The sequence below is a fragment of the Homo sapiens genome, chromosome 19 (genome assembly GCF_000001405.40).
Source record: "Homo sapiens chromosome 19, GRCh38.p14 Primary Assembly".
Taxonomy (NCBI): Eukaryota; Metazoa; Chordata; class Mammalia; order Primates; family Hominidae; genus Homo; species Homo sapiens.
In genome coordinates, this window is record NC_000019.10 from 36,403,856 (window position 1) to 36,429,659 (window position 25,804).

The window sequence follows — 25,804 nt, forward strand, 5'->3', positions numbered from 1 at the left end:
AACATATATGATTATACTATCAAGCATATCATTTTTGTAGTCTTTTATTTCCCTTTAATAATTTATGAGAAAAGTTGGGGGAAAAAAGGCTTCTCTGACAACTAAAAGAGTCTTCCCAGCACACATCTCCATCCCCTTACTCTGCTTACTTTTCTTCATAGCACTCTCATTACCTGACATTGTATTTCCTATTTATTTATAGTTATTATGTTTCTCTTATTACAAGGTAAATTTCGTGGGGATGGAAACTTGATTGGTTGTTTACCACTATATTGATAGTGTCTGTGACAGTGCCCAGCTCCAAGGCCACCTGTCTATTTATTAAAGACCGAAGTAAAAGTCCTAAACCCCGACAGACTGAAGGACCCTCTTTTGGCTAAAGACCCCATGTTCCTAGTCATGGCACATGGCAGGACAGAAGGCTGGTCATGACCCATTTGCTTCCAATCCCTTTCACCTTTCTGATCATTAGATTTTCTCAAAAGTCAGCTAGAGAAAATAAAAGGCTGAAAGACCCTTTTGCTTACTTCATCAGAACACTCCCCCACCACTCCACACTCCTGTTTTTATGGTTCCAACATGACAGCTATTCCAGTCCACAGCTTCTTCTTGATAAACGACTTCCAGCCTTGGACTGGTTTTGACTGGTCTCCCAAGGATACACAGATCATGGACTTGTGTCCTACATTTACCCTTTTAATGCATAGGTCCTAGTTATAATGCATTTAAATGTTAAATCTCTACCCTAAAGTGGCCATAGGACTTATGTTAACCTAATATGCATGTGCACAGTCTCTTTCCTGAGTATTCATAGCTCCTCCTGTAGCCTGTTGAATATGTATACTTGGCTAACATTCAGCATACATTTCTGTCTTACCCTCTCCCTCCCTCGAAATGCCCGTCTCTGGGCAGAAGCCTAGGCTACACTTCCCAGTCTGTCAGAATAACCGCCTTGCAGGCTGCAATCCTTTATGAAAAATAAAGCTCTCCTTTCCAAATGTATGAACTTTGTCATTCTTCAGCTGACACTATAAATGCAAAAGAGGGGCTGGGCACAGTGGCTCACATCTGTAATCTCAGCACTTTGGGAGGCTGAGGCGGGCAGATCACCTGAGGTCAGGAATTCAAGACCAGCCTGGCCAACATGGTGAAACCCCGTCTCTACTAAAAATACAAAAATTAGCCGGGTGTGGTGGCACACGCCCGTAAACCCAGCTACTCAGAAGGCTGAGGCAGGAGAATTGCCTGAACTCAGGAGGCAGAGGTTGCAGTGAGCCGAGATTGTGCCATTGCATTCCAGCCTGGGCAACAAGAGCGAAACTGCATCTCAGAAAAAAAAAAAAAAAAAAAAATGCAAAGGAGGAAAGCAACTGAATCAAAATATACAATGGTTGTCAACAGTGAGCCAAAGAGAGCACCACCTTACCCCTCAGCTCCATTAAGGAGGAGGAAAACTAGAGAGAACAATAATAAAAAAGAAGAGTGGTAAATGGGACAAATAAGTGCTTCTTTTAGTATCCCCCAGCTAAGACCTTAATTTGCTCCCCATGTCACAGACCTTTCCTCCTTGGGCCACAGACCTTTCCTCCTTGGGCCACAGACCTTTCCTCCTTGGGCCACAGACCTTTCAAGAGGGCTTTCTAAACAACATAAGGATGTGTCTCTTCCCCAGTGATCTGGGGTTCCCTGTGTTGATGGCTTCTTCCTGCCCAACTAGCCCTCACCTGGATATTGTCTTCTTCCTTTCCTCACAACTTTCCAAGGCTCTTTTCCTTGCTCCAATGAGGAAATCACATCTGGTTTAGAAATGAAGCATCCTGCTTAGAAGAAAAGGAATATAAGGTACATGAAAATAAAAAATAAATCAAAATTACTTTGATTCAGTCTTGGTTAAAGTATATGTCAAAACAGTAATTAATAAGGCAAAACAAATAAGTGAAAGATGTTTTAAAAACATTTACGTTAAGGTTACACAATAAATAGAGACTAGAGAGGGAATGAAAAAATCTTTTTAAAATCTATATTCATATAAGTGTTTCTTTTTCAGAGGCAATAGTGGTTGAGATGACAGACTGCTGGGTGCAAATCCTGCCTGAACCACATCCTAGTTGTATGACCTTGGGCAAGTTACTTCCATGCTACCTTTTCCTTCCCTATAAAATAGGGATAATCATAGTACTTATCTTATATGATTATTGTTAAGATTATATTTATATATGTCTGTATCTAAACATTGCCTAGAGTATATACCAAACACTATTTATATTTCATTAGCTATTGGTTATTGTTATTTTGCTGAGAGGAAAAATAAGCTTTCTGGGACATGTATTATTTCTTGGATATTCAAACAATGTTAAATTAAATGTAAAGTTCTTGGATTTTAACAGCTTTGCTGCAATATAATTTATATAACATAAAACCTACCTAAGTGTACAATTCAATGATTTTTAGTAAATTTACAGAGTTGTGCAAACGTCACCATAACCCAAACTTAGAATATTTCCGTCATCCCCCAAATATCCCTATTGGTCACTGGCAGTCAATCCTCATTCCTACTCCCAGCCCCAGACAACCATTGATCTTCTTTTTGTCTCTATAGATTTGCCTTTTCTGGGCATTTCATATAAATAGAATCATATAATATGTAATCTTTTGCATCTGGCTTCTTCCACTTAGCATAGTGTTTTTTATATTCTTGCATGCTATAACATGTATCAGTAGTTTGTTCCTTCAATGAATATTCTATTGTATGACTATGCCACATTTTATTTATCCATTTATTTAGATAATGTGAATAATGCTGCTGTGAATACTTATACATCTTTGTATAGACACATTTTTATTTCTCTTGAGTAAACATTTAGGAGAAGAATTACAGGGTCGTATCTATAGTATCGTACATTCCCACTGCAATGTATGAGGGTTCTAGTTTTTCCAAATACTCACTAATAATTATTTTGTCTTTTGACTAATAATTGTATATATTTATAGGCTACAATGTGATGTTTTGATACATGTCATTGTGGAATTAGCAAATCAGGGTAATTAGCATATCCATCACCTCAAATATTTATCATTTCTTTTCTTTGTAGTGAGAACATTAAAAATACTCTCTTGTAGCTATTTTGGAATATACAATATACAATACATTATTATTAACTATACTCATCTTGCTGTGCAATAAAACACATGAATACAAATCTTAGATTTTTAATTTTCTTTTTTTTTTTTTTTTTTTTGAGACGGAGTCTCGCTCTGTCGCCCAGGCTGGAGTGCAGTGGCGGGATCTCAGCTCACTGCAAGCTCCGCCTCCCGGGTTCACGCCATTCTCCTGCCTCAGCCTCCCAAGTAGCTGGGACTACAGGCGCCCGCCACTACGCCCGGCTAATTTTTTGTATTTTTAGTAGAGACGGGGTTTCACCGTTTTAGCCGGGATGGTCTCGATCTCCTGACCTCGTGATCCGCCCGCCTCGGCCTCCCAAAGTGCTGGGATTACAGGCGTGAGCCACCGCGCCCGGCCAGATTTTTAATTTTCAATCATAAAGGTAGGTAAAACTGAATATGATTGTTTATTAATGAAGGGAATGAGTTCTCTTGAATTGTAAATACATGCTGTTGATCCATTTTACCACTACATAAATCATATGTATTATTTTGATAGAGCTAATTCAATAAACAGGATCTAGCTATTTCCCTTACAAAATATACCAACAAGCAACAAAACATCTAAAGCAGTTCTGAATTCAAACACAAAGTGAAACTTGTTTTCTTTGACGCTGGTGAGGCTACAAATCACAAAGATCTCAAACCCAGCCCCTTCATTATTAAGGCCCAAGGGCTACTTAAGGATGGGGAAGGTCAATGTGCTTAATGAAGGTGCTCACTTCCAATGAAATAAAGCTCAAAGTGTTCCCTTTAGAAAGTGGAGCAAAAATTTAGATAGCTTCCTAAAAGATACTCTTGAAATTTCCACAGGAAAAAGCTGATTTACAGAGAACACAGTCTAAATTCCTAGAAGCAGATAACCTTACCCAGTGAGACCAAGTTGCTGTAGTTCTCCAACATGACATCTCTGTACAAGTCCTTTTGTTCCAAGTCCAGGTATTCCCACTCTTCTGGAGAGAAGTCTATGGATACATCACTGAACATCACTGATCGCTGAAATGACAAACCACACATTATAAATGAAATGGAAGAAAATGTATTTTAAGGTAGAAGGAGAAAAGAAGGAAGAGATATTGCAGGAAGTGGATCATATGGCAAGAAAACAGGCTTGGGCTGGAAGCCTGCAACACAGCGAGTCAGGAAATGAGTGTGCCTGAAGCAAAGTGCCTGGGTTCCCGAAGGATTCTGTTGCTACAGACACAGACTCTTATACTCTGGCAAATCTTAATAATCTAGATACTCCTGGGAAAGAAAAAAAAATCAGTTTTCCAATTAAATGAAATACTGTATATAAGCCTTTGCCTACTATGTCTCCCTCATCAATTCCCAAGGAAGGTGAGTTCTTCCGCCCCTTTCTTCTTAAAGAACAGATTTTTTTTTAAAGTCTCCCTCCCTACAATATCTTTATCTTAGAAAAGGATCTAAATGCAATTAGAGAATATCTTCTAAGTTTATCCTAGAAGCAGATCATATCATAAGCATTTTTCTAATTATGACTGTTAAAAATTGGTTGTATAGGCCAGGCGCAGTGGCTCACACCTGTAATCCCATCACTTTGAGAGGCCGAGGTGGGAGGATCACCTGAGGTCGGGAGTTCGAGACCAGCCTGACCAACAGGAGAACCCTTGTTTCTACTAAAAATACAAAATTAGTTGGGCCTGGTGGCACATGCCTGTAATCCTAGCTACTCAGGAGGCTAAGGCAGGAGAATCGCTTGAATCCAGGAGCAGAGGTTGTGGTGAGCCAAGATCACACCATTGCACTCCAGCCTAGCCAACAAGAACAAAACTCCGTCTCAAAAAAAAACAAACAAAAATTGGTTATATAATAGTCTATACAATGCATATATGAGATTTAATCATTCTTTTATACTTAGATATTTTGGTTGGACAAAACCTTAAGATCCTCCTCAATTCTGGGAGTCAACGTGACTACTTATGTACCTGGATTACCTTCTCACATGCTATCACTTTCCATCCCTCACTGTATGCCTTCCTGGTTCCTGAGTTAAAGGATATTAATATAGCATAATCCAGAATCACAAAGATGTCATTCTAGACCAGCACATCCTGTTCAACCAAAAATGGAATCTTGTTCCTGAGTGTAACTCAGGAATTCCAAAAGATCTCAGATCTCTCTATAAGACCTAGCCACACCCCTACTCAGTCCTAAAAGCCTCACAAAACATGAGATCTTATGATATACTGAGGCTGAGGCCAACTAACAGCAACTCTTACCTTTTTGTTTTATAACTTTTTTTTTTTAAGAGACAGGGTCTCCCTGTCACCCAGGCTGGAGTACAGTGGCACATCCATAGCTTCATTGGAGCCTCAAACTCCTGGGCTCAAACAATCCTCCATGTCAACCTCCTGAACAGGAGGGATTACAGGTGCAAGCCACCATGCCCAGCCACGACCCTTATCTTACGTACTTGGAAAACTCAAAGTTCAGTTTTCCTATGAGTGGCTAAATGGGCCCATGGTCAAATATTTAAGAGATTTCATTTTTCCTCCATTGCAGCTTTTAGCAGAAGACTGAGCACATATAGGAGATGCTGAATAATTTGTTCAACAAAGATAAGAACAATGACTAGAATAAAGAGTGTTCATAGGACAAGCATTGTGGTTCACCCGCCACTGGATTTGGAAGAACTGGAAGAAGGTTCTTGGATGGAGCTCTGATAGTAAGGAAGTTTCAGAATAAAAAAATGGTCACAGAACCTTAACATGATAGTATTCCTAGGAGGAGAAAAAAACTTACAAGGGCCATGGTATAGAAATTCAAGAACTGGTCAGTCCTCCTTGGGGTTTACTTGCCAGGAGAAGCACCGAGTCCACAGAGGCTGATCTAGGGAGAGGAAAACAAGGCCATGAGATCAGATGGACCTCAGAAATCCCCAAATGATTTGAGTTACTGTGACCTTTCCCCTCTCTTCTGATCTCTCCACCACAGCTCCTCCAACACACACGCGCGCACACACACATAGGCAGAGAGAGAGAGAGAAATTTGAGGGAGTCTGGACGAGTCTAATCCCTTGCTAATTCCAGGGCTGATAAGGGGCTGTATCATCTAAACCACAATCTTCCTTCTTCAAAGTTTCATAGGCCTGTTTAGATTCACCAGACACAAAGAGAGAAATTCATAAAGACCAAGCCTGGCAGCCATTACCACCACAAAACTGCACACTGGCAGCCCTGCTTGCAGCCAGAACAACTTTCAAAATCCTCTGGGCTCATCACTCTCTCTTTCCAGTCAGAATCAGAATCATCCACATTGTTTTCTGGAATGAATTCATTTGCCATTCTCTTTCTTACAACCTAGGCTGAACAGGCATGGATTCATGCTCTTGGTCATTTGACAATAACAAATGTCTATTTATCAAGAATTCCAGTATGTTGGGTGTTATATATGTATGTGTGTGTGTGTGTGTATATGTGTGTGTATATATATATATTTTGTTGTTGTTGTTGCTGTTGTTTGTTCTTGTTTTTGTTTTTTTGAGATGGAGTCTTGCTCTTATTGCCCAGGTTGGAGTGCGGTGGCACGATCTCAGCTCACTGCAACCCCCGCCACCCGGGTTCAAGCAATTCTTCTGCCTCAGCCTCCCAAGTAGCTGGGACTACAGGCACGCACCACCACGCCTGGCTAATTTTTGTATTTTTAGTAGAGACCAGGTTTCACCATATTCACCAGGCTGGTCTCGAACTCCTGACTTCATGATCCGCCCGCCTCGGCATCCCAAAGTGCTGAGATTACAGATGTGAGCCACCGCACCCACCCGGCCTGTTTTATATATATTAACTATATCCTCAGGATTGCTCTTTAGCACAATAATTATTCTATCCATGCAATGGATCAGAAATTCACATGAAGAGAAATAAAACCACTTGGGCTGGGCGAGATGGCTCACGCCTATAATCCCAGCACTATGGGAGGCCAAGGCAGGTGGATCACCTGAGGTCAGGAGTTCGAGACCAGCCTGACCAACATGGTAAAACCCTGTCTCTACTAAAAATACAAAAATTAGCTGGGTGTGGTGGCAGACGCCTATAATCCCAGTTACTGGGGAGGCTGAGGGAGGAGAATCGCTTGGACCTAGGGGGGCGGAGGTTGCAGTGAGCCGAGATTGCGCCATTGCACCCCAGCCTGGGAGACAGAGCAAGACTCCATCTAAAAAAAAAAAGGAAATAAAATCATTTGTAGAAATGCAGTTTATGAGTAGCAAAGCTGCATTTGGAATCATTTATCTAACCATAGAGTCGGCTTTCCTTCAACTCTAGCTCTTGTTTCTGAAACCCAGAATTTCTATTCCAGTGAGCGAAAACTGGCATGCATGATTCACTAAAAAAAAATAAAATAAAAATAACACATCAGCTCACCAACAGGTATCTGAGTACTGATACCCATATTTGCAAGCATGAGAGGAAATGAACATTCTAACCAGTATACTGCAGACTGCATAGATTTCAAAGTATGTACAAGCAGCATTTAAACCACGCATACTCTTTGATTCAGAAATTCTACTTTGGGGATTAAAAAAAATTGTACATATGATCAAAGGTATGTGTAACAGTATGTTGACCTTGTTCATAATGGAAAAAAGCTGGGAAGAACCTAAATGTCCTTCAATAGAAAACAGATTAAATAATCCTGGCTAACATGGTGAAACCCCGTCTCTACTAAAAATACAAAAAATTAGCCGGGCATGGTGGCAGGCACCTGTAAGCCCAGCTACCCGGGAGGCTGAGGCAGGAGAATGGCGTGAAACCAGGAGGCGGAGCTTGCAGTGAGGCGGGATCATGCCACTGCACTCCAGCCTGGGCAACAGAGCAAGACCCCGTCTCAAAAAAAAAAAAAAAAGAAAACAGATTAAATAAATCATAAAGCATCCATAGAGTAAAACAAACTGTTGCCATTTAAAAAATGATAATGCAGCTCTTTAACTGGAAATATGGAAATATGTTCAGTACAGTTTGTTGAGTGAGGAGTGCAGTAACAAACAGTTGTGAGTAGTATGATCCTGTTAAGGTACAGCAAAAACAGACGTGAGAGAAACAGAGAGAGAGAGAGAGAGAGTGTGCGTGTGTATTAATCTCTAAGTGCTAAGTTTTAGAAAATACACAAGGACATATAAAATATTCAAGATATATAATCTCTTAGAAAAATAAAATGAACATTATTAGGACATCTGTAAAGTATACATGCAAATCAGCACAAAGAAACACTGACAGGCATCAATAGATATTGATCTTGATTTCCTTTTCGCTTACATTTATTTCATAATTCTACATGACCATATATACTTGAAACATATATTTTAACTTTGCATAGTGGAAAGCGTTCTTTAAATAGGTTAAAGAGATAGTTTTTAAAGTAGTCATCCCTTGAACTTGGAGAAAAAAACTCAATATCCTACAAGCAGCTTCTATGTTTTTACTGGTTTTGTTGATTTCAGCTCCCAAAATCTGAACTGACTCTATGATTTCTAAGTGTGTTCATGTATGTCAGAGTTCTGCCTATATAAACATGGCTAAACATCTTCAATTAATGCCTTGTTTCACTGCTGCTACTTCTCATGACTTCTTGACCAAGCTTTTGTTTTGTTTCTGAAAGAGTTGTTTTAGCCATGAGGCCCACCTAGGAGCTGCTGAATCTTCTTGTGCTGTTCATTTGCATCAACATCATGAAAATAAAAACTATAAGGCACATGCTTATTACATAAAATCCATTACCCCACAGGAACCCCATGAGTTTGGTATTATTTGGTCGTGACCTGACAATGCTTGCTACAATCAGCTGTCTGCTTCCCATGACCTCTCAAGCCATGCCACCTGAATTCTTCAATGACTTTACCTCACCTATCTCAGTGTTATTCTTGCATAGGCTTATCTACCTTGAAAGACAACAAACAATGTAAGGATATCAACCATGTCATTTTGGTCACTGTATTTCCCCCAAGGACTGGCACAGGATCTGGCATATTGTGAGTACTTTATAAATGTCTCATAATTCAACCCAGAAATTCCACTTTTAGGAATTTATCGTTAGGAAATATTTGTAAAAGTATACAAAGATGTATTGCAAGAGAGTTCATCAAAGAATAATTTATTGGCCAGGCATAGTGGCTCATGCCTGTAACCAACACTTTGGGAGGCCGAGGTGGGCAGATCACTTGAGGTCAGCAGTTTGAGACTAGCCTCGCCAACATGACGAAACTCCATCTCTACCAATAATACAAAAATAAGCTGGGCGTGGTGGCAGACACCTGTAATCCCAGCTACTTGGGAGGCTGAGGCAGGAGAATCACTTGAATCTGGGAGGCGGAGGTTGCAGTGAGCTGAGATTGCACCACTGCACTTCAGCGTGGGCAACAGAGTGAGATTCTGTCTCAAAAAAAAAAGAATAATTTACGACAACCTGAAATCAAATACCTAACAGTAGGCAACAAGTTGAATAAATGATGTTCTACTATATTATAGCACATTATGCAATTATTAATGATGGCATTGGCCCACATTAATTAAAGAAGGAAGATATTCATGATAAATTACTAGCTATGGGAGTCAGACTAAAAGAATATGTACAATGTTGGGAGGTGGCAGACTCTCAGTTATTAAAAATACAGGCTTTGTTATCAAGATTCAGGATATGAACAGAGCTCTGAGAATTATTAACTGTGAGAATTTGGACGCATTAATTTTCAGTGTCTCAGTTTCCTCAGATATAAACTAAGGAATAAACAGTACCTACCTTATAGGGTTGTTGTGAAGGTTAAGAACATAATACATAAAGCACTTAAAATGGCTTACTGTAAGCACTAAATTCAGTGAAAAACATCACATACCCCTCATTCCACTATTTTAAAAATTATCTTCAATAATTTTTTTTTTTTTTTTTTGAGATGCAGTCTCGCTCTGTTACCCAGGCTGGAGTGCAGTGGCAAGATCTCGGCTCACTGCAAGTTCCACCTCCCGGGTTCAGGCCAATCGTCTGCCTCAGCCTCCCGAGTAGCTGGGACTACAGGTGCCCGCCACCACGCCCGGCTAATTTTTTGTATTTTTAGTAGAGACGGGGTTTCACCATGTTAGCCAACATAGTCTCGATCTCCTGACCTCGTGATCCGCCCGCCTTGGCCTCCCAAAGTGCTGGGATTACAGGCGTTAGCCACCACACTGGCTTCAATAATTTTCAATTTAAAAATTTGGTATTTGCTGATAAATTATCTTTAACAATTTCAATAGCAGTCCCTTTCTCTAAAGGGATTTTTGAGATTTTTGAGATTTTTCAGCATTGCTCTTAAAACATTGATAAATGTTAGAACTAGGCTTGAAAATGTAATTCTACTTTTTTTTTTTTTTTTTTGAGACACAATCTTGCTCTGTCGCCAGGCTGGAATGCAGTGGCATGATCTCAGCTCACTGCAATCTCTGCCTCCCGGGTTCAAGTGATTCCCCTGCCTCAGCCTCCCAAGTAACTGGGACTGCAGGAGCATGCCACCACACCCGGCTGATTTTTTGTATTTTAGTACAGACAGGGTTTCACCATGTTGGCCAGGATGGTCTCGATCTCCTGACCTCGTGATCTGCCTGCCTCGGCCTCCCAAAGTCTTGGGATTATAGAGATGAGCCACCGCACCTGGCCTATGTAATTCTTCTTAATAATGTTATCAAAAAAGGATTCACAGAAATCAAAAAGTAGAGCAAGGCCCCTGTTACTTTCCATCCCTAGTAGCTCCAAAGGGACACCATTCCATATCATAAAACCAGCTCAAGAATTTTGCTTTGATAAGGTATCATATTAAATACTTTTTTTTTTTTTTTGAGACAGTTTCGCTCCTGTTGCCCGGGCTGGAATGCAATGGCAAGATCTCGGCTCACTGCAACCTCCACCTTCCGGGTTCAAGTGGTCCTCATGCCTCAGCCTCCCAAGCAGCTGGGATTACAGGCATGCACCACCACGCCTGGCTAATTTTGTATTTTTAGTAGAGACAGGGTTTCACCATGTTAGTCAGGCTGGTCTGGAACTCCTGACCTCAGGTGATCCGCCCACCTTGGCCTCCCAAAGTGCTGGAATTACAGGCGTGAGCCACCAGGCCCAACCTCTTTTTCCTTTTTCAAACAAAGTGTTGCAGAGTCTTTGTCTCCTTAAATGATCAATTGTTGTGATTCTATTTTGGAAAACAAACACATGTGCACAAGTGCACAGAAAAAAATGGAAAAGCAAACATTAGAATAGTAATATTTATTGTGGATGGTGAGACTACGGGCAACTTAAATTTTATTCTTATAGAGTGAAGATGACTGGGTGGTAGGGGATGGAGAAAATCTGTTCTGAATAGTACTAAATATAGTTGGCAGCTTAAACCAGGACTTTCTTTTTTTTTTGGAGACTGAGTCTCACTCTGTCACCCAGGCTGGAGTGTAATGGCAGGATCTCGGCTCACTGCAACCTCTGCCTCATGGGTTCAAGCAATTCTTCTGCCTCAGCCTCCCAAATAGCTGGGATTACAGGCAGGCGCCACTGTGCCCAGCTAATTTTTCTATTTTTAGTAGAGACAGGTTTTACCATATTGGCCAGGTTGGTCTCAAACTTCTGACCTCAGGTGATCTGCCCACCTCAGCCTCCCAAGTGTTGAGATTACAGGCGTGAGCCACTGCGCCCAGCCAATTAAACTATTTTCATACACATAGAATTAAAAACAGAGTTGTGAAGAAGGAATATCTTTTAGTTGTTAAGAAAATTGTGATTCTATAAGCCTGTGACATGAGTGGGTTTTGGGAAAATAAACAACAGTGTGGCACAAATAAGTAACACCCATCAGTTCTTTAACTGTTCTTCATCAAAACGATGGGCTATTTTCACTCTCAAGATTCTTCTATGAATGAACACAATCAAGCGACATTCCTAAATTCAGTAAAAGTATACCAAAGCAGACAGAACAGTGTGGTAAACAACAGTTTATCTTTTTTTCTCCACTAAGAAACTAGTTTTATATTATGTATAATCCTTGCAAAATGTTTTATAAATCTCTAGCTTATTAAGAGCGATTCATACATGATTAAAGGTTTTGTGAGTCATCTTGTTCAAAACTATTGCTTAGACAACATCGATCACAAGCTTTTTTTCCTTCTCATAATTAACAGTATTTATTAATGGCAAAAAGCTGCATCACATGGAGTGTGGCTTATTTAATCATTTCCTACTATTAGACACTAATTTTGTGTCTAACATTGAAAAACATTCTCAAAGGTTACAGACTTTGATTCTAGGCCAGTAGATCTGAATCTTAATGGATCATGTTTGATAATCTCATTAAATTACATATTTTCTCCCCATAAAAGTGGCATATTAACAGATATCTATAACAATTTTACGTACAATTTCAAAGAGTATCTGGTCCCCTGAAAGCCTCAAATGAATTCAAATTACTTCTGGTTAAGAATTCCTGTTCTATGGCCGGGCACGGTGGCTCATGCCTGTAATCCCAGCACTTTGGGAGGCCAAGGCGGGCAGATCACCTGAGGTCGGGAGTTCAAGACCAGCCTGACCAACATGGAGAAACCCCGTCTCTACTAAAAATACAAGATTAGGCAGGCGTGGTGGTATATGCCTGTAATCCCAGCTACTAGGGTGGCTGAGGCAGGAGAATCGCTTGAACCTGGGAGGCGGAGGTTGCGGTGAGCTGGGATCACACCATTGCACTCCAGCCTGGGAAATAAGAGCGAAACTCCGTCTCAAAAAAAAAAAAAAAAAAAAGAATTCCTGTTCTAGGCTGGGGGCGGTGGCTCATGCCTGTCATTCCAGCACTTTGGGAGGCCGAGGCAGGCAGATCACTTGAGGCCAGGAGTTTGAGACCAGCCTGGCCAACATGGTAAAACCCGGTCTGTACTAAAAATACAAAAATTAGCTGGGTGTGGTGGTGCAGGCCTGTAATCCCAGCTACTTGGGAGGCTGAGGTATAAGAATCGCTTGAACCACGGAAAGGGAGGTTGCAGTGAGCTGAGATTGTGCCACTGCACTCCAACCTGGGTGACAGAGCAAGACCCTGTCTCAAAAAAAAAAAAAAAAAAAAAAAAAAAGAATTCCTGTTTTAGACTATTTAAGCATCTGATCTGGCTCATTTATTTTTTACTAGGAAATACTCACCACAATTGGCTTAGTATTTTCATTTTCCCCCCATCTATAGAAGGCTGATGTAGAATTGCTCCAAATCACTACTTAAGAATACATAACTAAGGTTTATTAAGTACTAACGAGGTCTCAGGAACTGTTCTAAGAACTTTACACATAGTAATTAAAAGAAGGCCCACAGAAGTAATGAAAAACATCTACCAAATGGGTATGTGCATACAGGCTCTCGGGAGGGGACCTAGGTATCAGCTCAATGGACAGGACATTTATGGAGAATGAAACAAATATTCTCATGTCCTAAGAAATAAGAATGCATTTCACAGAAGAAAGCAGAAACACCCACTCGCCTCGACCTTGACTTAAACAGGCAACAGCAATTCATTCCTCCTCCCGCTCGGACCCCTTTTCTTAAAGAATTGGGCAGGACTGGCTAATAAGGGAACCAGGCTTTTCTTGCAGCCCAGCCTCGCATAGGGCACAATGCCCCCACCGCCCACCCACACATAACCAGAGTAACATAAGAGAGATGGTGTTGTTAACTCTTCCCAGTATCAAAGAAAGGCCAGGGTCATGGATGCCCGGGGCTAGAACTGGAGTTCACAATAGCTTCCTGGAAGCAATGCTGTGGTTCTGAAACCTGCAGCTGGACTCTTCAGAGTTGTGAGTGCACGTGCGTGGGTCCGGGTCCGCGAGGAGGTGGTGTGGGAGTCCCTTCCAGGAGCAAGCCTGGGCGGGAGCGGGGGCTCGTTCAGTTCTAATATTCCTATCCCAAGGTCGGGTCTGAGCCTTGTTTCGCTGTTGCCCAGGCTGGAGAGTAGTGGTGCTATCATAGCTCGCTGCAGCCTCAATCTCCTCCTAGGCTCAAGCCATCCTCCCGCCTCAGCCTCTCGAGTGGCTGGGACCACAGGAGCACGCCATCACACCCGGCTCATTTTTTAAATTTCTGGTACAGATGGGAGTTTCGCTTTGCTGCCCAGGCTGGTCTCGAACTCCTGGCTTCCAGCGATCCTCCCGCCTCGCTCTCCCAGAGCTCTGGGATTACAGATGTGAGCCACCTGGTCCGGCCTAGTCTGCGCGTTTCTGCTGGGAGTCTTTGGCGTGCAGAAACTGACCGAGGGCCATTTCTCTGCAGCTGGGCCCGGTGTGGGCAGAGGATGCTGGGGTCAGTCACGCACTCCACGGCCACAACAACCTTCGCTCATACAATAGTCTCTGCACCCAAGTCAGCCGCACAGACTCCGTCACGTCCCAGCCCCGGCCCCGTCACGCCCACGACACACACACCCGGGCCTGAGGCGCGGGCTCCCGCCCCTCTGCGATACTGCAGTGGCCCCGCTTACCTCTCTTTACCCCCTGGGCCGCAGCGCTTTTCCTACAGATTACCAGGACCGACGCTCCGGGCCAGGACTGCTCACTCGGGGCGCGAACCCGAGGCACAGCGATGCCCGAACGGAGGAAGCCGCTGCCGGGTCACGCCACAATCCCCGGGGCCTAACGGGCTGCGCGCGGAGGCTGCTGGGAGGGCCGGGCGCGCTCACGGAGTGCGCAGGCGCGGCCAGTCTCAAGGGTCCGCTCGCTGGTGCAGCCCCTGCTCTGCGTGAACCCGGAGCCGGAGCTAGGTCCGTCCCAGCGAGGCTGCGCTTCGAGTCCCTTAGCGCCTGGGGACGGCGCGGCAGGGCCTGGAGGGGAGCGGGGACAGATGGCTGGCGCGTTAAAGAGGGGCGCCCGCGACCGCCTCTCTATAGTGCCAACTAGGGAGCCCTGTGAGCGAGGACGGCGCTGCGAGTCTGTCCCTGGCGCGCTCCTGGGTGGGATTCTTTCACTGGGTGTGGCTGTTGGGATTTGAGACCGTGTGACTCCGGAGATTCGGGGAAGCCAGTTCCTATATTTTCCATTTCTGTATTTTTAAATGGTAAAAACAATGAAAAGGAGAACAATATTTTGTGAAATATGAAAATCATACATGTCAAATTTCAGTGTCCATAAATAAAAGTTTTATTGGAACATAGCCGTGTTTGATTGTGTACTGTCTATTGCTATATTTGAGCTACAAGGACAGACTCGAGTAGTTACACAGACCAGATGGCCCACGCAGCCTAAAATACAGTCAGTTCTCACTATTCACAGTAGTTATGGTCTATAAACTTGCTACAAACACGGAATTAGTGAATACCATTCCACTGCTTCTAGGGGAAATACAGGGTTAGTTTCCTGTAAGCATCTGGTCACATTTTAGTCAACCGATGAATGCATAAGCTTATTTTATTGTGTTTATTTTCTTTTTTTCTTTTTTTTTTTTTTTTTTGAGATAGGGTCTTGCTCTGTCACCCAGGCTGGAGTGCAGTGGTGGGATCTTGGCTCACTGCAACCTCCTCCGCCTCCCGGGTTCCAGCAATTCTCCTGCCTCAGCCCCCAGAGTAGCTGGGAATACAGATGCATGTCACCATGCCCAGCTGATTTTTGTATTTTGTAGAAACGGAGTTTCACCATGTTGACCAGGCTGGTCTCAAACTCCTGACCTCAGGTGATCCACCCGCCTTGGCCTCCCAAAAGTGCTGGGATTATAGGCATGAGCCACCGCGCCTGGCCTTATTGTGTTTCTATTTAAACACTTTAATATATATTATTGATTCATTAACATTGAACTCATGGCCAACAGCTCCATAACTCATGCCTGAATGAAGCTTATCTAACACATGTATTTTTTCTGTAAGACACATGACCGCTTTCTCATTCATAGGAACATCAACAGCACTTTAGTACTACTACATTTGGGGTCCCTTTGAAACAGCAAAATCACCAGCAAAAAACAAAAATATGAGAAGCCAAGGTACTAAATGGACTGCAAAAAGGGTACCTGTTTACAGTATGAGAGCTGAAATAAGAAGATAGAGGGTCACTTTGTTTGACTTTGGCTGAGAACATGCCTGTTAAGGGACTCAAAAAGGTTCACCGCTCTTCGGATGTCCACAAATGACCACAAAGGTGCTGCAAATATTGACTCTGGGTTTATAAAAAAGTTTTAGCAAGTAGATGAATTCACAAATTCAGAATCTGTGAATGAAGATTGACTGTATTTACTATCAGGCCCTTTAAAGAAAAAGTTTGCCAATCCCTGTTTTTATATGTCCCTCTTAGTTATACAGCTAGTGTTTAAAAACTACTTGAAATAATTATTTTCCCTGTGCCACCAATTATGTCTATAATTGATTGTACCCCATTAAATAAGCACAAAGAAAAAAGAAAGCTTTCTTTATAGAAGAAGGCCAGCTAATAACTATCAAGGGTTTGATTTTACGTGGCTTAGACACGCTGCTTCAAATGCATTTAAGATGTTTGGTTTTAACAAGGATTTTGCAACAGTATAGTGTTTTCCTTAAGTTCAATGTCATTTCTATGTCATGGCAGCTGTCACCTGCAGTTAGGTAAGACAGTGACATCATTAACATGGATGCATTTTCATGGCATGAAGGCTAGCCATTGATGGGGTAATATAACACAATTTATCAGTAAACGCTGAGTTTTCTTTGAAGTCAGTCTCTGATTTCTTACAGTGCTTGATGTCTGCCTTGCCTGCTAGTGACCAATTCCCCTGCGTCTTTACAGAGCCTTGTTACTCACTCAGTGTAAAGACAGTGGGGGAAACAAGGTTTCCCAAAGTATCCTTATGTGCAAAAGTGTTTCTTACTACTTTGGAAATACTAAGCTGAGTTTAATGTTTATTCTTTTTCTACCAACAGACACAAAAAGGACAAGCACATGCCTTAGAATATTCAATACAATTTTCTACAGCGATATGGTTAAATACTCTTCTGTCTTCACTACTTTTTTGTTTTTACTTTACTTGGAAATTTTAATTCTCTAGGAATAACGGGGCAGGAGTCTAAAATAATACTTTGTGGGAGTGAAGTATATATTTTTTTCCAAGTAAAAAAAAAAAATCAGGCCAGGCGTGATGGCTTAGGCCAGGCGTGATGACTCATGCCTGTAGTCCCACATACTCGGAAGGCCAAGGCAGGAGGATAGCTTGAGCCTGTGAGATCGAGATTACAGTGAGCTATGGATCGGCCACTGCACTCCGGGCTGGGCGACAGAGCGAGACCCTGTCTCAAAATTAAAAAAAGGAAAAAAAAAAAAAAAAAAGTCTGCGCTCCCCGGGGCCCAAGGAGAGGACCCAGGAGAGGAGTCTGGCTCCTTTTGCCTCAGACGAGTCCAGGGCGCCGGGTTAACTGGTCTAAAGTCCCAGGCGCTTTCTGGGACTGCTCAGCCACCGGCCGCTCCCGGCACCAGGGGACGCCGGACGCCCTCTGGACAATCGGCGCACTTGCCACGATCTTGGACGGGCCTCGGGCCTCGACCTTAAGATTCCCCGCTCCAGCTCCGAGATGTCAGCAACGCTGATCCTGGAGCCCGCGGGCCGCGGCTGCCGAGACAAGCCGGTGCGCATCACCATGCGCGGCCTGGCTTCGGAGCCGCTGGACACGCTGCGCGCGCGTCCCTGCGCGACGAGAAGGCTGGGCTCTTCCGCTACTGCGCCGACGCCCGCGGCGAGCTGGACCTGGAGCGCGCGCCCGTGCTGGGCGGCAGCTTTAGGGGGCTAGAGTCCATGGGGCTGCTCTGGGCCCTGGAATCCAAGAAACCTTTTTGGCGCTTTCTGAAGCGGGACGTACAGATTCCCTTTATCGTGGAGTTGGAGGTGCTGGACGGCCACGACCCCGAGCCTGGACGGCTGTTGTGACAGGCGCGGCACGAGCGCGACTTCCTCCCACAAGGGGTGCGGAGCGATTCGGTGCGCGCGGGCCGGGTGCGCGCCACGCTCTTCCTGCCGCCAGGACCTGGACCCTTCCTAGGGATCATTGGCATCTTTGGTAATGGAGGGAGCCTGTTGGAATATCGAGCCAGCCTCCTTGCTGGCCATGGCTTTGCCACGTTCGCTCTAGCTTGTTATAACTTTGAAGATCTCCCCAAGAACGTGGACAACATACCCCTGGAGTACTTCGAAGAAGCCCTATGCTACATGCTTCAACATCCCCAGGTAAAAGGCCCAGGCACTGGGCTTTGGGGCATTTCTCTAGGAGCTGATATTTGTCTCTCAATGGCCTCATTCTTGAAGAATGACTCAGACACAGTTTCCATCAATGGATCCGGGATCAGTGGGAACAGAGGCATAAACTGTAAGCAGAATAGCATTCCACCATTGGGCTATGACCTGAGGAGAATCAAGGTAGCTTTCTCAGGCCTCGTGGACGTCGTGGATATAAAGAATGATCTTGTAGGAGGGTATAAGAACCCCAGCATGATTTCAATGGAGAAGGCCCAGGGCCCCATCATTTTCATTGTTGGTCAGGATGACCATAACTGGAGGAGTGAGTTGTATGCCCAGTCTCTGAACGGTTACGGGCCCATGGAAAGGAAAAACCCCAGATCATCTGTTACCCTGGGACTGGGCTTTACACTGAGCCTCCTTACTTCCCCCTGTGCCCAGCTTCCCTTCACAAATTACTGAACAAACACGTGATATGGGTTGGGGAGCCAGGGCTCATTCTAAGGCCCAGGTAGATGCCTGGAAGCAAATTCTAGCCGCCTTCTGCAAACACCTGGGAGGTACCCAGAAAACAGCTTTCCCTAAATTGTAATGCGTTTGTCTGTTGTTGACATGAGAGAGTCAAGATCAGATTCTAGTGTTCAATAACCCTATGTGAATCAGCTGTCTCCTGGATAACATTAAAGCCATGTCTTTGTCATTAAAAAAAAAAAAAATCGGCCGGGCGCAGTAGCTCACGCCTGTAATCCCAGCACTTTGGGAGGCTGAGGCATGCAGATCATGAGGTCAGGAGTTCGAGACCAGCCTGGCCAACATGGCGAAACCCCATCTCTACAAAAAATACAAAAATCAGCCAGGAGTGGTGGCGGGCACCTGTGATCCCAGCTACTTGGGAGGCTGAGGCAGGAGAATCGCTTGAACCCGGGAAGCGGAGGTTGCAGTGAGCCAAGATCATGTCATTGCACTCCATCCTGGAAGATAAGAGCAAGATTCTGTCTCAAGAAAAAAAAAATTAGTAAACTAGAAATCTCTGAACAAAGTATCATACATGTAATTTAATTTTCCCATAGATATAGGTAAAGAGAAGTTGTTGAGTTACAGCCTCTATCTAGCACAGCAATCTCCTCAAAACACAAGGTAGCCGCCCGGAGAGGCCACAGAGGAGATATCTAAGAGATATAACACTGGGGATGTTTGCAATTGGAAATTAAATGACATTTTAGAAATGTAGTTATCAATGTCAAGCCTTGATAGACATCAGTCTGAAACCTAATACATGTTTTATATATAATAAATTTAAACAGCTTAAATTCTCATCCATTCAAAATGGGAGAAAAACTAAGTAAATGTGATAAATGTATTGAGGTGTTTGGCTTTCAATCAATGCTTCCTGATACTCGAAAAGTCTTCACAGGGAAGGAACCAAATAAATGCAGAGTATGGAAAAAATGAAGCCATACACATATTATTGTGTGGTAAATATTTCCATTGAAAGTCAAATCTTTACACTCACCGAAGCATTTCCATAAGAGAAAAGATGTATATTAGAAATGTAAATGTTTTTATAGCAATTGAAATCTTTACAGAGGTAGAGAAATCTGGTAACTGTTATTAGTGTAGTAGGGATTTAAGCTAAGTTCTTGTCTCATGGTAGTCATCCAGGTTCTTGATGTTTTGAACAAAGAATTGGACAAAATGCACAAAGCAACAAAACAATGAAGCAACGGAAGCACAGATGTATTGAAATGAAAGTACACTCTACAGAGTGGGAGCAGGACCAAGCCTCAAAGAGTGCTGGTTACAGAATTTCCTGGGGTTTAAATACCCTCTAGAGGCTTCCCATTGGTTACTTGGTTACACCCTATGTAAATGAAGGAGTGGCCCACAACCAGTCTGATTGGTTGCAGAAGACAGGACCAATCAGAGACTAAATAGTAGTTACCAAGTTACGCCCTATGCAAATATCTGATTGATTGCGGGAGGGGACCAATCAGAGGTACTTTCCATTTTTCATCTGCCACACAGTGCAAAGGTAGTAACCTCTGATCCTTTTGTTATTTGGGTGTGGAGAGACGGGGTTTTCCTTTTGATTCAGTTCTAAGAAGTCAGCGGGAATGGCCTTAGGTTCCCTGCCTCCAGACCTATTCTCCTGTCTCACCTCCATTTATCACTAAAGAGTTCACAATACATGACCCTCCAGAAAAGAGACATGTGACATTAATATGTCAGACTCAACCAGTGTCTTCACACTGGAATGACTTTATTAGTGTGAAGCTGGAGTAACATTTTATCATTAGCACAGAACGAGAAGCATTGCAGATGATAGAGCCTTTTTTGGTCACCAAGTGACGCAGCCAGTACACTGTTGACTAGCAGTGATGGTAGCAGGCCTTCTTGCCTTGGTCCTGATCTTAAAGGGAAAGATTTCGGTATTTCATCACTAAGTAAAAAATGTGTTGTTGGTTTTTTGAAACAGGGTCTCCCTCTGTCGCCTAGGTTGGAGTGCAATGGTGCCATCAGGGCTCACTGCAGCCTCTACCTCCTAGGCTCAAGTAGTTCTCCTGACTCAGCCTCCTGAGTAGCTGGGACAAGTACCACCACACCCAGCTAATTTTTAAAATTTTTTGTAGAGATGAGGTCTCACTATATTGCCCAGGCTGGTCTCAAACTCCTGGGCTCAAGTAATCCTCCTGCCTCAGCCTCCCGAAGTGCTGGGATTACAGGTGTGAGGCACCATGCCCATCAAAAAATGCGCTTAAATTTCTCCCTGGATATCCTTTCTTAGAAGTTTCCTTGTATCTCTATTTTTCCAAGAGGCTTGATGATAATTGGATTTGAAATTCTATCATCTTTTCTGTATCTTTTGAGATGATCCTGGGGTTCTTTCTAAATTAATACGTTAATGTGGGGAATCATATTAACTGATTTTTAAATAATAAGTCAAACTTGCATTTCTGGAATAAATATCTCAAGTTGGTCATAATCTAGTTGGCTAAAAATTAATAAAGTTGTTTCCTTAATGATTTAGATAAGAACTTTGCATCTACCTTCATGAATACAACTACCCCATAATTTTCTTTTCTCATACTGTCTTTGAGAGATTTTGAAATCAAGGTGATATTTTCTTTCTTTGATTTTTTTTTTTGAGAAAAAGTCTCTCTCTGTTGCTCAAGCTGGAGTGCAGTGGCATGATCTCAGCCTACTGCAACCTCCAACTCCTGGGTTCAAGAGATTCTCCTGCCTCAGCCTCCCGAGTAGCTGGGACTACAGGCACATGCCACCATGCCCAGCTAATTTTTGTGTTTTTAGTACAGACGGGGTTTCACTATGTTGGCCAGGCTGGTCTTGAACTCCTGACCTCGTGATCCACCCATCTCCACCTCCTAAAGTGCTGGGATTACAGGTGATCATATTTTCATTAAAGAAGTCACTGTTTCTGCCTTTTTATTCTCTGGGAAAGTTTACTATGTAAGGTTGGAATTCTTCTTAACTTGAATGGGTTGGTAGAACTTTTCAATTAAATCATTTGGAACTGAAATTCTCTTTCTGGGTTGCTGTTTGCTGATAGTCATTCCAAAAACTTCTATGCCAAAAAAGCCACACACTAGGTATCTTGGTTCATAGTTTACTCAGTGTAACACATAATAAATATCTCCCTGAAGCCAAGGAAGAGGCCACCTTCCACCCTTCAGGGAACAGCAGTGAGTTCAGGGAACAGTAATCTCTTTCTCAATTCCAGCTGGTCTTACCTATAGTTCTTGTGTGCCAGATTCCCTTTTGTATGTTTTGTACCTTTGTGGATTTGATTACAAGTGGGGTCGCAATTGTGGATAGCCTGAAGATATGAGAAATGTCTATTGTGGGAAGGTAATGAAGGAGAGTTGGTGACCAGCAGGACGAGAGCTTTAGCCATGGGGCTAATAAGACAGAGCCAAGTCAGCAGGGACATAAGATGTAAGAGGGCTCTGGTGCTCAGGTAGAACTGGATAAAGGATGGGTGAGCTGGAGTTAAACGTTCCATGTCATAACACCAGGAAAGCAATAAAAATGTTTTTATTGTGGCAAAATATACATAATATAAAAAGTCACCATTTTAACCATTTTTAAAGCATAACATTTAGAGGCACTTAGTGAATTCACAGTGTTTTTTTGTTTTTGTTTTTGTTTTTGTTTTTTGAGACAGAGTCTCGCATTGTCGCCCGGGCTGGGGTCTGGAGTGCAGTGGCACGATCTTGGCTCGCTGCAACCTCCACCTCCACCTCCTGGATTCAAGCCATTCTCATGCCTCAGCCTCCTGAGTAGCTGGGATTGCAGGTGCCCACCACCACACCCAGCTAATTTTTGTATTTTAGTAGAGATGGGGTTTCACCATGTTGGCCAGGCTGGTCTCGAACTCCCGACCTCGTGATTCGCCTGCCTCAGCCTCCCAAAGTGCTGGGATTACAGGCGTGAGCCACCGCGCCCGGCTGAATTCACAGTGTTCTTTCATCACCACTATCTAGTTCCAGAATATTTAATCACCACTCCCCTAAAAAAAGAAATAAAAATAAAAGCCACTGATAAGGTTTGGCTCTGTGTCCCTACCTAAATCGCATCTCAAATTGTAATCCCCATAATCCCCATGTGTTGAAGGAGGGACTTGATGGGAGGTGATTGGATCATAGGGGCAGTTTCCCCCATGCTGTTTTTGTGATAGTGAGTGAGTTCTCACCAGATCTGATGGTTTTATAAGTGTTTGACAGTTCCTCCTTCACACTCTCTCTCTCGCCTGCTGTCATGTAAGATGTGCTTGCTTCCCCTTCCGTCATGATTGTAAGTTTCCTGAGGCCTCCCTAGCCATGCGGAACTGAGTCAATTAAACATCCTTCCTTTATAAATTACACAGTCTCGGGCAGTTCTTTATAGCAGTGTGAAAACGAACTAATATACCTACATATCTTCTAAGTTGCTTTCCATTCCTTACTTCCTCCAGCCATGGCAGCTACTAATCTGCTTTCTGTCTCTATGGATTTACCTGTTCTAGATACTTTCATACGAGATGAGCCCTTTTATGTCTGACTCCTTTCACTTAGCATAATGTTTTGAATATTCATCCATGCTGTAGCATACATCAATACTTTATTTCTTTTTCTAGCTGAATACTATTCCATTGTATGAATGTACCACATTTTGTTGATCCATCAGTAGATAGAAGTGCGTTGTTTCTACCTTTTCGCTATTGTGAATATTGCTGCCATAAACTTTGTGGACAAGTTTTTGTTTAAACACTCATTTTCAATTCTTTTAGGTATATACTCAATATATACAAGTGGGCCAGGCATGGTGGCTCACACCTGTAATCTCAGCCCTTTGGAAGGCCAATGTGGGCAGATCACTTGAGGCCAGGATTTCGAGACCAGCCTGGCCAACATGGTGAAACTCTGCTCTACTAAAAGTACAAAAATTAGCTGGGTGTGGTGGCGTGCACCTGTAATCCCAGCTACTTGGGAGGCTGAGGCATGAAAATCACTTAAATTCAAGAAGGGGAGGTTGCAGTAAGCCAAGATTGCACTCCAGCCTGGGCAACAGTGCAAGATTCTGTCTTAAAGAAAAAAAAGTCTTTAAAAAATAATATATAGCATATTTATATATATATACACACATACACACAAAGCATACATATATATATATATATATATATATATGGAATTCCTGAGTCATACAGTAATTTTATGTTTAATTTATTGAGTAACCACCAAACTTTTTTCCACAGCAGCTACACCATTTACATTTCCATAAACAATGTATGATAGTTCCAATTTCGCTACATTCTCACTAGCACTTATTTTCCTTTAAAAAAAAAATTATTGGCCAGACACAGTGGCTCACGCCTGTAATCCCAACACTTTGGGAGGCTGAGGTGGGCAGATCATGAGGTCAGGAGTTTGAGACCAGTGTGACCAACATGGTGAAACCCCGTCTCTACTAAAAATACAAAAATCAGGTGGACGTGGTGCTGCACGCCTGTAATCCCAGCTGCTCAGCAGGCTGGGGCAGGAGAAATGCTTGAACCCAGGAGGCGGAGGTTGCAGTGAGCCAACATCTGGCCATTGCACTCCAGCCTGGGCGACAGAGCAAGGCTCTGTCTCAAAAAAAAAAAAAAAGATTTGTCCTTGAATGTTCATAGTAGTTTTATTCACACTGCCAAAAACTGGACACTACCCATTCTCTATCAACTGGTAAACAGATAAACAAATTGGAAGATGTCCAAAAAATGCAATATTACTCAGAAAACAAAGAATAATTTACTGATATATGCAACAACATGAATGAATCTCAAAAGCACTGTTAAATACAAGAAGCTTTACATAAAAGACTACATACTGTATGATTCTATTTATATGAAATTCTAGAAAAAGTACAACTATTGTGGACAGGAAGCAGAACAGTGGCCCTCAGGGGCTGGGGCAGGGGATGGGGAGGGGCCGGACTGCAAAAGTGCAAGAGTGGCCGGGCGCCCTGGCTCATGCCTGTAATCCCAGCACTTTGGGAGGCTGAGGCGGGCGGATCACCTGAGGTGAGGAGTTGGAGACCAGCCTGGCCAACATGGAGAAACCCCATCTCTACTAAAAATACAAAATTAGCTGGGCATGGTTGTGCACACCTGTAATCCCAGCTACTTGGCAGGCTGAGGCAGGAGAATCGCTTGAACCCGGGAGGTGGAGGTTGCATTGAGCCGAGATTGTGCCACTGCACTCCAGCCTGGGCAACATGAGGGGGTGGGTGCAGTGGCTCATGCTTGTAATCCCAGCACTTTGGGAACCCGAGGTGGGCAGATCACTTATGGTCAGGCGTTCAAGAGGAGCCTGGCCAACATGGTGAAACCCTGTCTCTACTAAAAATACAAAAATTAGCCAGGTGCAGTGGCACTGTAGTCTCAGCTACTCTGGAGGTGGGGAGAGAAGGTGCAGTGAGATGAGATCATGCCATTGCACTCCAGCCTGAGCAACACAGCGAGACTCTTGTCTCAAAAAAAAAAAAAAAAAAAAGGCATGAGGGAGCTTTCTGAGTTGATGGAAGTTCTGTATATCATGATTGTGTTGTGGTTGTGAAAGGAACACATCTTGGGCCCCCAAAATCACTAAAGTAAAGAGAAAAGTCAAGCTGGGAACTGCTTGGGACAAACCTGCCTCCCATTCTATTCAAAGTCATTCCTCTGCTCACTGAGATAAATGCGTATCTGATTGCCTGTTTGGAGAGGTTCATCAGAAACTCAAAAGAATGCAACCATGGCCAGGCACGGCGGCTCATGCCTATAATCCCAGCACTTTGGGAGGCCAAGCCGGGCAGATCACCTGAGGTCAGGAGTTCGAGACATGGCCAAACCGTGTCTCTACTAAAAATACAAAAAAATTAGCTGGGCGTGGTGGTGGGCACCTATAATCCCAGCTCAGGAGGCTGAGGCGAGAGAATCGCTTGAACCTG

General features: G+C 43.2%; 1 protein-coding gene and 1 pseudogene across 5 annotated transcripts in view, besides 4 other annotated features; one reads left to right on the forward strand and one right to left on the reverse strand.

The window, feature by feature from the left end:
- The window catches only part of ZFP82 (ZFP82 zinc finger protein), a 35,525-nt gene extending 20,736 nt beyond the window's left edge, over positions 1–14,789 (reverse strand). For 3 of the 4 annotated variants that reach the window (NM_001321919.2, NM_001321918.2, NM_133466.4), the window contains exons 1-4: positions 14,637–14,789; positions 5,926–6,012; positions 4,032–4,158; positions 1,725–1,817 (exon numbers count right to left, since the gene is read on the reverse strand). In NM_001321919.2, coding sequence (NP_001308848.1) covers positions 1,725–1,817; positions 4,032–4,158; positions 5,926–5,934 — 229 coding nt within the window. In that variant the 5' untranslated portion in view covers positions 5,935–6,012; positions 14,637–14,789. Of the gene's footprint in view, positions 1–1,724; positions 1,821–4,031; positions 4,159–5,925; positions 6,013–14,636 lie in introns of all 4 variants that reach the window. The other variant, NM_001321917.2, reaches the window with a different exon arrangement.
- Positions 14,158–14,317: an enhancer, noted in NCBI's record as "active region_14522". NCBI's record gives its function as "activates an Ori minimal core promoter by ATAC-STARR-seq in GM12878 lymphoblastoid cells {active_cell/tissue: GM12878}" and the evidence as "EXISTENCE:reporter gene assay evidence [ECO:0000049][PMID:35858748]".
- A 2,529-nt stretch (positions 14,790–17,318) lies between the features above and the next one.
- ACOT4P1 (ACOT4 pseudogene 1) lies at positions 17,319–19,042 on the forward strand (annotated as a pseudogene). Its single transcript, NR_033748.2, has one exon. The product of NR_033748.2 is annotated as an ACOT4 pseudogene 1 (transcript).
- Positions 17,848–18,530: an enhancer, noted in NCBI's record as "H3K27ac-H3K4me1 hESC enhancer chr19:36912605-36913287 (GRCh37/hg19 assembly coordinates)". NCBI's record gives its function as "activates a minimal SCP1, AML or CMV promoter by ChIP-STARR-seq in naive H9 embryonic stem cells {active_cell/tissue: H9 hESC(naive)}" and the evidence as "EXISTENCE:reporter gene assay evidence [ECO:0000049][PMID:30033119]".
- Positions 24,520–25,021: an enhancer, noted in NCBI's record as "H3K4me1 hESC enhancer chr19:36919277-36919778 (GRCh37/hg19 assembly coordinates)". NCBI's record gives its function as "activates a minimal SCP1, AML or CMV promoter by ChIP-STARR-seq in primed H9 embryonic stem cells {active_cell/tissue: H9 hESC(primed)}" and the evidence as "EXISTENCE:reporter gene assay evidence [ECO:0000049][PMID:30033119]".
- Positions 25,022–25,521: an enhancer, noted in NCBI's record as "H3K4me1 hESC enhancer chr19:36919779-36920278 (GRCh37/hg19 assembly coordinates)". NCBI's record gives its function as "activates a minimal SCP1, AML or CMV promoter by ChIP-STARR-seq in primed H9 embryonic stem cells {active_cell/tissue: H9 hESC(primed)}" and the evidence as "EXISTENCE:reporter gene assay evidence [ECO:0000049][PMID:30033119]".